Genomic DNA, 12116 nt, shown 5'->3' with positions numbered 1-12116 from the left:
CCCTGAGTCTTACCCAACTAAGGATTTTGCCAATATCTTAAGGTGGGACTGAGGTTAATCCCGGGACCACGTTGAGCATTATTCTGTCTAATGAGAGTATGTGAGGTAGTTATTTAGTTCATTCGCCATGGTTATTGAGGGCTTATCATACACTAGATGGAAATCGAAAATCCAATTCCGGCCGGGCGCGGTGGCTCACGCCTGTAATCCCAGCACTTTGGGAGGCTGAGGCGGGTGGATCACGAGGTCAGGAGATCGAGACCATCCTGGCTAACATGGTGAAACCCCGTCTCTACTAAAAATACAAAAAATTAGCCAGGGGTGGTGGCGGGCGCCTGTAGTCCCAGCTACTCGGGAGGCTGAGGCAGGAGAATGGCGTGAACCCGGGAGGCGGAGCTTGCAGTGAGCCGAGATCGCGCCACTGCACTCCAGCCTGGGCTACACAGTTAGACTCCGTATCAAAAAAAAAAAAAAAAAAGAAAAGAAAAGAAAAGAAAATCCAGTTCCCTCTCTGCTCACTAGCCTGTGAGTGCAAAAGGGACCACAGGAAGGCTAGCGAGCCATATTCACGGTCCCCAGCCCTCAAAGTCTCACCCAGGCATCGGTCTGAATCCTCACAGGTTTCTCTCTCTCCGTCCTCCCCTCTCTCTTCTCTCCTCCTCTCTCTCCCCCGACCCCCTGTCCCTCTCTCCCGCTCCCTAGATACTGCTGAGGGCCGCCTTCTGGCTACCCTGGGAGCCCACATATATTGGCTCCCCTTCACCCTCCCCCTTCCTCACTGCCCAAGGCGTCCTTGGTAATCAGCCGCTTTCTTCTCTACTTTGCAATTCTTTGATGACGCTGAGCTGAGCGAGCCCGCGCTCAGCCCGAAGAACCCCTTTCTCCTCGCACTGTGTGCCAACCGCATCCTTCCTTGCGAAACCAGTTCCTAACTTCCCCCTCGCGAGCGCCTCGTGGAAGTCGCAGATCCGGAGACCCCATCTCTGATAGCCGCAGTGCGCTCTGGGTGTGGCTGCTTCCTCACGCTTTCCAATGCCAACCTGTCCAGGCGCCCCGGACTGAACCTGGGGGCGTGGGGACTGGGAGGGAGACTTCATTTTCACTTTTTAAAAAATACTTTTGATTGTTTTACCACGGACAAAAGAAAGGATATGGGTAATGCTATTGATTATTTTTATATTTGTTTATTATTATTATTATTATTATTATTATTATTATTATTATTATTATTATTTGAGACAGAGTTTCGCTTTTGTTGCCCAGACTGGAGTGCAGTGGCCCGATCTCGGCTCACTGCAACCTCCGCCTCCAGGTTCAAGCGATTCTCCTGCCTTAGCCTCCCGAGTAGCTGGGATTACAGGCGCCTGCCACCATGCCCGGCAATTTTTTTGTAGTTTTAGTAGAGGGTGTTTCACCGTGTTGGCCAGGCTGCTCTCGAACTCCTGACCTCAGGCGATCTGTCCGCCTCGGCCTCCCAAAGTGCTGGGATTACAGGAGCTAGCTACCGCACCCGGCCTATTGATTATTTTTAAATTTGAAATCAAAATATGAAGTTTGCAAAGGGCACGGAATTAGCCGGTATACTGGGGAGCGCAAGGAGCCCAGTTCTGCCAGACTGTCCCCGGCAGAGTCCGCGACACACCAAGGCCATGTCTTGTTAAAAAGGGGGTTCTGGCCTGAGAATGGCTGGGGAGCCTGGGCCCGGCACCCCTGCCCGCGTCCCTCTCCCCTAGGGTGTTGACGCGGAGGCTGCGGGTGCGGACACAAGCCCACCTCTGCCTAGCGCGATTTCCAGAGCTAGCGCCCGAGGGAGGAGCGCGCGCCACCCCGCCGCCCTGACAGAGCTTGGGAGAGGGTCCCCAGGACTTGGCGTACCCGTCCGTCCTGGGGCTGCTGCTGTCCTCAGAGCCTGGGGAGGTACCGGGTCCAGAAGGCTGAGCGCAGCGCTCCGTGTGGGTGCCCTAGTGAGGCCTCAGCCCCACTGCGCCTTCTTCCTTCACGTGGGCAGGAGAAGGACCCGACTGGTACTTGGTGAGCAGAGGTTCGCACACCCGATATGGGAAAAGGAAGAGGGAAAACAGATGAATCACTGAGGGCTGGACTGATTCAGTCATTTGTGCACGGAGTAAATATTTATTTCGCATTTTTAAAGCTCTTGACAGGCAACAGCAAACCAATCAAAAGTCCCCGCCCTCATGGACCTGGGGTGGAGGTATGGTTGGATAAAAAATAAACAATGAACTTACTAAATCATATATTAATGATTAGCCCTAAGTAATCTAAACTACCTCCTCCCACATTCTTAAAAGCAACACTTCTTTGACAAGTTGGTCTTCATCATGCACCCAGGCACAGCAAGTGGCAAAAGTATGCCGAGATGGAGAGGGTATGTCGTTGGGAAACAATGCTTACATATGTAGCTAATTTTTTTTTTATTTATGAAGCAGCATTTATCTTAATCATTGGGGCGTCTCAGAATTTCCTAAGTGCCTATTCCTCCCTTTTAAAGCAGCTAGTTTTTGAAAAGTAAGAAAGGATGTTAGTTTCATTCTGCAAGGTCATAAAAACACTTTTATCCACTCATTTACTTTAACAGTTCCTGCAACACGATTGAGATGCCAGAAGTGCTGGCAGAAGAAAAAGCACACATCTGAAGAACAAATGATAGGGATACATGAGTGTCCTAAATGAGCATAACAAGACCTAATAATGCCCAGACAATAGTATCCTATATGACAAAGGGGATCAAAGCCAGAGTCCGGAAGACAAGACTGACCTGGAGCAGTCCCTCCCTACTCATTTTTCTTAAGCTGTAAAGCAGAATAGCTTGTTCTGTATTTAGTTTGAGGACAATTTGGGCATGGGAAGGGTGGGGTGATTTAATACTAACCAATCATTTAAGTGGCATCCTCAAGCAAACCTTACCTTCACAAGCAGGATTTCTATGCAAATGTAGCAATCTACCAGGATTTAGGATTTAGCCCTAGGCAGGGTCATGATCAGAAAATTGTTATCAATGATCCTACCAAATTCAATACCCACTTTTTGTAGCAAATGCTTTGCAAAGCCCATTTACTATCTTGAAATGGAATTCATAGATAATATAATCTATCTGTATACATAATTCCAAAAACATCATTATATCTATCAACGCCTCCCAGCCAAAGACCCTTGGGAACACACTTGCAGTTGAACAAGTTCAGTTTATTGCACATTGCAAGGAGGGAGAATGCACGCCACGGGGAAATGCAGGATGTCTTGGTAAGAGGGTATTAGAAAGGACTTACTATCGGATTTAGGGTTTGGGGGGCAGCTTTTGGAAAGATTTGTGAAAGCGGTGCTTTGCTTTGGATTGGATGCTGTCAAGAAGTGGGAGCAGTTCTATGGTTGGGTATTTTAATTAACTTCATCTAGAAGGAGGGAAGACTAGAGCCAGGCTAAAGCTATCAATGTGAAAAAGCAGCAGTCACTCCTATTAGCCAGGATACGGGGAGGTTTGGTCATCTCTGTGGTTTGGAGAATGTTCATGTTTTGTCTATGTTCAGACGTGATTAGGGAATGTTCTTGTTTTTATCTAGAGCCATCCCCATCTGGGTGGCCTTATCCAATACCGGTGTTCTGTGGAATTGTTTACATGTAACAGAAAAACCCCACAAGTGAGTGCCAAGCCAACTTGGGTGTCAGGGACTGCTTTTTCTCACACTCTGTCATAAAAGGAGAAATGAAATGATCATAACAAAATAATATGCATCTTCATATGTAAATGATCCAGAACAGTTTTACTAGAATACATAATAGATCATATGGTTGCATGAGTCAGTTTGGATTTAGAAGTAAGAATATTGAAAGCATTTCTTTACACAAATACTGAAGAATGAAAGACAAGAGGTTCCAGTTAACATCAGAATTAAAATTAGTGTTCAGATACATAAAAACATACCAGGCTCATTAGTCTATAAACCAAAGAGGGAATAACCTTAATAGAAACAGGAATAACATGCCAAGCAAATAACAGTCTGTCAAAGAGGAAAAGTAAGAAAGAATAATATTCTCAGAATAACACTGGCCTCATTTATAAGAGTAATGTTGAAAACGTCCCTCTATGATGTGGAACAGGTAACGATTAAATACCTCAGCAATCTTATCTCCCTTTTTGAAATTCCAATACTCATTCAAGATATGCATCCTGCTACTTCAAAAGACCTGGAAGGCCATATTCAGTAACCTACAAGATAATGCATATTTTCATGTGATGAGGTGCACTCCGGGTTCTTGCCTTGCCTCAGTTCTCAAACGTGAGTCTCAAACTGAAGCAAACTAAAGGGATAATAACACTTACCCTACAGGGTGGGTGCTTCGATTAGAGGTAATGTTTGGGATATGCACAGCTTATGGGGCTCTGAAAGCTGGCCATTGCCATCAATTTGGTCTGCACGCACACAGAAAGAGAGGGTGAGTGCCTGCGTCGGTCTGCCTGGTTGCATTGAAGGTACTGGATTGAATGTGTGTGATCATGTTGGCAGGAGAATCGCAGGCACAGCTATTGCAGGTAATAGTGCAGGCTCAGTACTAGGGGGAAACAGGGGACACAGGGGACATGTTCTGAAGTAACTGAATTGAGGCCAGGCACAGTGGTTCATGGCTGTAATCCCAGCACTTTGGGAAGTTGAGATGGGAAGATCACCTGAGGCCAGGAGTTCGAGACCAGCCTGGGAAACACAGTGAGACCCCATCTCTACAAAAATTTGTTTTCTCTTTTTTTTATTTTGGTCTTATATTTAGTTTTAAAATTTTTTCTTTTTTCCCTGAGTCTGACACAAAAAAAAATTTTAAAAAGTAGCCAGGCATGGTGGCACACACCTATAGTTCCAGCTACTCAGGAGGCTGAGGTGGGATGATGCTTGAGCCCAGAAGTTCAAGGCTGCTGTGAGCTATGGTGGTGTCACTGCACTCCAGCCTGGGTAACAGAGAAAGACTCTACCTCTAGTAATAGTGATAATAATAATATGAAAAGCCCAAATAGCCAAAGCAACGTTAAGCAAAAAGAACAAAGCCAGAGGCATCATATTACCTGACTTCAAACTAACTATAAGGCTACGGTAACCAAAACATCATGGTACTGGTACAAAAACAGACATATAGACCAATGGAACAGAATAGAGAATCCAGAAATAAAGCCACACACCTATAACCATCAGATCTTCAACAAAGTTAACAAAAATAAGCAATGGGGAAAGGACTTCCTATTGAATAAATGGTGCTTGGATGGCCGGTTAGCCATATGCAAAAGAATGAAATTGGACCCCTACTTTTCACTACATACAAAAATTAACTCAAGCTGGATTAAAGATTTAAATGTAATACCTCAAAATATAAGAATCCTAGAAGAAAACCTAGGAAACACCATTTTGGACATTGGCCTTGGGGAAGAATTTATGACTAAGTCCTCAAAAGCAGTTGCAACAAAAACAAAAATTGACAAGTGACACCTAATTAAACTAGAGCTTCTAATTTAGCTAAAGAGTAAACCTAATTAAACTAAAGAGTAAACAGACAACCTACAGAATGGGAGAAAATGTTTCCAAGCTATGCACCCAGCAAAGGTCTAATATACAGAATCTGGCCGGGCCAGGTGGCTCACACCTGTAATCCTAGCGCTTTGGGAGGTCTGGTAGGCAGATCGCTTGAGCTCAGGAGTTCAAGACCAGCCTGGGCAACATGGCAAAACCCCACCTCTAGAAAAATTACAAAACTTAGCTGGGCGCAGTGGTGCGTGCCTGTAGTACCAGCCTCTTGGGAGGCTAAGGCAGGAGAATTGCTCGAGCTCAGGAGGCAGATGTTGCAGTGAGCTGAGATCGTGCCACTGCACTCCAATCTGGGCAACAGGAATGAAATCCTGAAGAAAAAAAGAAAGAAGAAAGAAAGAGGCTGGGTGTGGTGGCTCACACCTGTAATCTCAGCACTTTGGGAGGCCTAGATGGGCGGATAATCAGGTCAGGAGATCGAGACCATCCTGGCTAACACAGTGCAACCCAGTCTCTACCAAAAATAGCCAGGCGTGGTGGTGGGCGCCTGTAGTCCCAGCTACTCGGGATGCTGAGGCAGGAGAATGGCGTGAACCCGGGAGGTGGAGCTTGCAGTGAGCCGAGATCACGCCACTGCACTCCAGCCTGAGGGAAAGAACTAGACTCCGTCTCAAAAAAAAAAAAAGTAAGGAACTAAAAAAGAAAGCAGGGGAAGGGAGGGAGGGAGGGAATCTATAAGGAACTTAAATGGTTCAACAAATAAAAAATAAACCCCATTAAAAAGTGGGCAAAAGACATGAACAGACCCTTCTCAAAAGAGGACATACAAGCAGCCAACAAGCATGTGAAATAATGCTCTGCATCCCTGATCATCAGAGAAATGCAAGTCAAAACCACAATGAGATACCATCTCACACCAGATGGCAATTATTAAATGGCTTGTTAAAAAATCAAAAAACAACAGATGCCAGCAAAGCTGCAGAGAACAGGGAATGCTTATACTCTGCTGGTGGGAATGTAAATTAGTTCAGCCACTGTGGAAAGCAGTGTGGAGGTTTCTCAGAGAACTTAGAGTTACCATTCAACCCAGCAATCTCATTATTGGGTATATATTAAAAAGAAAAATCGTTCTACCAAAAAGACACAGGCACTCACGTGTTCATCACAGCACTGTCACAACAGCAAAGACATGGAATCAACCTAGATGCCAATCAATAGTGGACTGGATAAAGAAAATACGTGTGTGTGTGTGTGTGTGTGTGTGTGTGTGTGTGTGTGTGTATAAAATATATAAATGAATTATATTATAATTATAATATATTATATTATAATTATATTATATAATATTATGTATTCTATAATACATAATATAATTATATATGATATTATATATTATTATATACACATAATATTATATTCTATATGTATATGTTATATATAATATAAAGGAAAATACTATATCTCTCTCCCCAGGAATACTATGCAGCCATAAAAAAGAACAAAATCATGTTCTTTGCAGCAACATTGATGCAGCTGGAGGTCATTATCCTAAGCAAATGAATGCAGGAACAGAAAAACAAGTACCATATGTTCTCACTTATAAGTGAGAGTTAAACATTGGGTAATCATGGAGATAAAGATGGTAATAATAGACACTGGGGACCACTGAGTGGGGAGGGAGAGAGTGGGGCAAGGTTGAAAAACTGTTGGGTACTATGCTCAGTAGCTGCGTGTCGGGATCATTGTTACCCCAGACCTCAGCATTGTACAATATACCCTGGTAACAGACCTGCACATGTACCCACTGAATCGAAAATAAAAGTTGAAAAGTAATGAATAAAAATGAAATAAAATAACGTAATTGGGACTTGCTCAGTTGGATATATGGATAATTGTATATAATATGCTTCAATATTTTTACCTTTGTGCCTTTTTTTGATAGTACAAGCCTCCTGAAAGACATTTTTTTAAATCAACATTGAAAGAATGCAACTGTACATTTTACGTGATGAAGTTTTGGACCCTGTTTATTTCATTGTGGTCTAGGGTTATTTTATTTCATCAGGTGGTGGAGAATAAAGGCTAAGTTGGAAGAAGAAACTGTAAAATAAGAGACTACAAGAGGTCTCAGAGAGGTTAAGCCTTCAAAGGCAGATCATTGCAACACTGAAAATCTTGAAAAACAACAAGGAATTCAAAATAAATAAAATAACATACAATTTTCACAAAATGTTTGTCTTCTCAACGTGCTAAACATCTGGTGCTAATTTTTTTAATGGCCTACAAACCCATGTTGCCAAGAAATTCTAGTTGAGGCTCAATCTGTGGCACGTACAATATAATGACAATGGGAAAGGGAATTACTTTTTTCTGTGAAATACATTCCAAGGGTTTTGGATGCTGTCAGTGCCTTTGTATACATTGCCAGTAATTTTGAAAATAAATTTTCACTGTGGCTTTTTTCATTTCTTAACCTTATCCATGTGAACAGGAGAGCTTCCTCGTTCCACTGGGAGATCTTATCCACTAGTAACGAAAATGTGCTCCACTGGTCTCATTACACAGCTGATATTCACCAGTTTCACCATCTCATTGATTTTTCTTACAACAGTATCATCAGAATTCAGTGAAGAAAAAAATTTCAGTTGGATTTTTTCCTATCATTCTAATAACCTATAAACCACTGGTAATTTGAGTTTTTTCTATAATATTATACTGCTTACCATATTCTGCAATCATTTATATTATGCTGAAAGAATTAGCAACAACTTTACCTTCTACTCAGAGATTTTTCTTTAACATTCCGTGGCTATTCTAGTTTCAAACTTCTTTAAATCTCAGAAGTATGATATGCTGCCAACTTTATAAATGTATTTCTTTATACAATCTTTATTTTCTGTCTTCTTGTGGTCACTGTTTATTTTAAAAGAAGTGTAGAGTAGGCATATTGACAACTCTCCACATGTGGGAAGATATAAAAACCAAGTTTTTAACATTCAGCTGAATAATACTCACCCTTTTCCTCCATATTTGACATTTTGCCATAGAGGCTAAATCAGTATATTCCTGTGTAGAGGTAGTAGCCATGAAGAGGACAGTTACAATGGACACTAATTAGATGATGCCAATAATATAAGCAGGATCGCCATCCGTGACTTTTCAAAATGGTGAACTCTTGACAAATTTTCAAATAAAGCACTGCGCCGTATTTCCTTGATGTATGCATTTGATGCTTCCTAGGAAATTTAGTACTTACTAAACCTTGACAAAAAAAACCCACTTTGTATTCACTTATAAAATGGAATTCGTTCTAGGCTCAAATAATTAGAAGCAGGTTTTTCACCTATATAATTCTAGGTTCAGTTAGATTTTAAATTGGATTGTCATAAATAGGTTTGTTGTATTTATTTATTTATTTATTTATTTATTATTTTTTGAGACAGAGTCTTGCTCTGTCACCCAGGCTAGAGTGCAGTGGCAAGATCTCAGTCACTGCAACCTCCACCCCCCAGGTTCAAGCGATTCTCCTGCCTCAGCCTCCCGAGTAGCTAGGGCTATAGGCACACACCACCATTCTCAACTAATTTTTGTATGTTTAGTAGAGACGGGGTTTTGCCTAGGCTGGTCTCAAACTCCTGACCTCCAGTGATCTACCCACCTCAGCCTCTCAAAGTGCTGAAATTACCAGCGTGAGCCACCATGTCCGGTCAGGTTTGTTGTATTAAAAGTCCTGAGGAACCAGGAGCGGTGGCTCACACCTATAATCCCAGCACTTTGGAAAGCAGAGGCGGGCAGATCTCTTGAGGTCTGGAGTTTGAGGCCAGACTGACCAACAGGGCGAAACCCCGTCTCTACTAAAAATATGAAAATTAGCAGGGCATCGTGGCGCCTACCTGTAATCTCAGCTACTCAGAAGGCTGAGGTGAGAGAATCACTTGAACCCGGGAGGCGGAGTTTGCAGTGAGCTGAGATCGCGCCATTGCACTCCAGCCTGGGTGACAGAGCGAGATTCCGTCTCAAAATAAATAAATAAATAAAATATAAATAAAAGTCCTGAGGGACACACGAGAAATCTTTGTTGTACTAGTCTGACCCAACTAAATGCCAGCAGTAACCCCTGTTCATGATGACAAAAGAAAAAGCCATGCAAATCTCCAAAATACCTCTGGGAGCAGTACCATCCTGCAGAGAACCATTAATTTTTATAAAGATGCAATCACACTCTGTAGTTTACAATCTGAGTTATACCTGATTTACATAAAAATACAGTCACATAGAAGTGATCAGAGTTGTTTTAAGGCCTTTATGAGGCTCAGACCCTTTTACTTCTGGAAGCCCTACCCCAATTATATCAAGCATATTAAAATGCACCTTCATCCTAATAAATATAATAATAGCCAGGCTTGTTATGTGCCAGACACCATTTTAAGTACTTTACAATAACTATTTGAAGTACGCACTATTATTATTCCCATTTTACAGATAAGGAAAAAGGCACAGAGAGGTTCAGTGACTTGCCCAGAACCACACAGTGGTGGAGCCAAAATATAAAGCTTAGAACTCTGACACCAACATACTACAGCCTATATAACTCTTGTAGAGTTTACATCTAAGGATAAAGTATCATTTATGAGTTTGTCGCATTGGAGATGACTTCGCCTTCATCAATTTTAATTGTAGAGTTTTTATTTTGTATTTTGAGTCAATCATTTAATTTGAGGTGTGAAACATTATCTTAAGGCCCTTGAAAGGCCCGTGGCCCCCAGTACCATTACCTGTAAGAGCATTGCCTGAGATTCTCCACGCACATTCAATCCAGCACCTTCATGCCTCGGGGAGACCCACGGAGGCACTCACTTTATCTCTCTGTCTATTTTTTAATGTGTGCGTGTGTATGTGCGTGCGTGTGTGTGTGTGCGCGGACCAAAATGATGACGATGGCCAGCTTTTAGAGCACCGTGATTCATGCAAACATTATCTCTAATTTTAGCGCCCACTCTGTAAGATGTTGTTATCTTAATTTTTATGTGAGGTACCCGGTGTCAGATGACTGAGTGAATTTTCCAGTGTTTCATGCCTAGGGAAAGGGGGAGTTGAAAATCCAGTCCTGGTCTTTATGTCTCCAAAGCTTCTGCCCCCATCCTGCTATTAGTGGCTCCGTGTGGGCCCTTTGGGGCTTCTGTGTCTCTTGCATGACACTCCCTTCCCAGTGAAGGAACCTCAGCAGGTTTCCACTTGTCCTGCCATCCAGCTCCTATCCGGCAGGAGACGGCAGGTACTGGTTTTTCCCCTTCAGCTGCTGTTATCCTATTCCAGAGCCAGATTAAGATCTCAGACTTTCATTATAGCACAGACAACTTCGGGGAGCTGCTCTCGATGGGAACTCCAGAGGAAACAGGACGATTTTCTCAGTGCCTGGTCTTACCAGCTGCTATGGTAGTAACATCCCCTGCAAAACTCATGTTGAAACTTAATCCCCAATGTGGCAGCATCGAGAGGTGGGGCTCTTAAGAGGTGATTAGATCATGAGGACTCTGCCCTCATGGGTGGATTAATCTATTCATAGCTTAATGGGTTATCATGGGAGTGGGACTGGTGGCTTTATAAGAAGAGGAAGTGAGATCTGAGCTGGCATGCTCAGCCCCCTCACTATGAGATGCCCTGTGCCACCTTGGGACTCTATGGAGAGTCACCACCAGCAAGAAGGCCCTCACCAGATGTGGCCCTTCAGTCTTGAACTTAGCCTCCAGAACTGTAAGAAATAAATTTCTTTTCTTTATAAATTTCCTGTTTCAGGTGTTTTGCTATAACCAACAGGAAACAGATGAACACACGAGCTCTGCTTTTCCTGGGTGATTTTCCTTTTTGAATTATGCACTTAAAATGGATGCATCTTATTGATGTAATTGATATGTCTACAAAAAGCTACGACAAAATAAAAGTTAATTTAATAAGACAGTAAAAGGGATTCTAAGCTGGTGAACCCAGTGGGGCCTGGGCAGAGATTCTTACTCTGCAAACTGCCCGAAGTGGATCAAAAACTAAAACCACTCATCGTTTCTCCTGACCATGCCCTCTTCTTAGAGATTCCTTCTCCCACAACCCTGGGGGCCATGACTGGACAAGGTCACCTCTCAAACTGATTGCCTGGTCCCCAATATGAGGATGCAAAATGCATGGGGTGTGGATGTTACCAACTGGTTCCCTCTCATGAGACTGAGATAAACTCCATGGGCCCTTCACCTGTAGATCTCAGAGAATGAGGCAGATTTTATTGGGCCTGAGGCAAAGTAGAGAAAGCTAAGAGAAAGGAAAGGGTAGCGACCCAGGCAGACAGAAGAGTACTGGAGAGATCTGGCAGAGCCAGGGAGACAGAGGATGCATAGGCACCACAATGAGAGAAAGGAACTTGGTGCCTGCCTTCCAGTTCCCTAATCCTCCCGAGGGCCCGTCTCTTCCTATCCTTAGGTTCCATGCAATCTGCCAGTATCCTTATATGATAATTCCTTTCCTGCAGCCAAAGCTCCCTGCATCCCCTGCTGAGCCCACTGCAGCTCTAGATCCCAAAAGGACCAGCCCACAAGTGACAGC

At 43.2% G+C, this 12116-nt stretch overlaps 1 long non-coding RNA gene across 1 annotated transcript in view, besides 2 other annotated features; it reads right to left on the bottom strand.

The window, feature by feature from the left end:
- The window catches only part of LINC01839 (long intergenic non-protein coding RNA 1839), a 76964-nt gene that overhangs the window by 59606 nt on the left and 5242 nt on the right, over positions 1-12116 (bottom strand). Inside the window, exon 2 of the long non-coding RNA XR_924788.3 lies at positions 1876-2027. This is a non-coding gene — a long non-coding RNA (long intergenic non-protein coding RNA 1839). The remainder of the gene's footprint in view (positions 1-1875; positions 2028-12116) is intronic.
- Positions 399-1342: an enhancer, noted in NCBI's record as "H3K27ac-H3K4me1 hESC enhancer chr3:184209704-184210647 (GRCh37/hg19 assembly coordinates)". NCBI's record gives its function as "activates a minimal SCP1, AML or CMV promoter by ChIP-STARR-seq in naive H9 embryonic stem cells {active_cell/tissue: H9 hESC(naive)}" and the evidence as "EXISTENCE:reporter gene assay evidence [ECO:0000049][PMID:30033119]".
- Positions 1343-2287: an enhancer, noted in NCBI's record as "H3K27ac-H3K4me1 hESC enhancer chr3:184208759-184209703 (GRCh37/hg19 assembly coordinates)". NCBI's record gives its function as "activates a minimal SCP1, AML or CMV promoter by ChIP-STARR-seq in primed H9 embryonic stem cells {active_cell/tissue: H9 hESC(primed)}" and the evidence as "EXISTENCE:reporter gene assay evidence [ECO:0000049][PMID:30033119]".

The sequence above is a fragment of the Homo sapiens genome, chromosome 3, assembly GCF_000001405.40.
Source record: "Homo sapiens chromosome 3, GRCh38.p14 Primary Assembly".
NCBI classification, from domain to species: Eukaryota; Metazoa; Chordata; class Mammalia; order Primates; family Hominidae; genus Homo; species Homo sapiens.
Note: the sequence above shows the minus strand (reverse complement) of the source record. Positions and strands in the feature narration are given on the sequence as shown.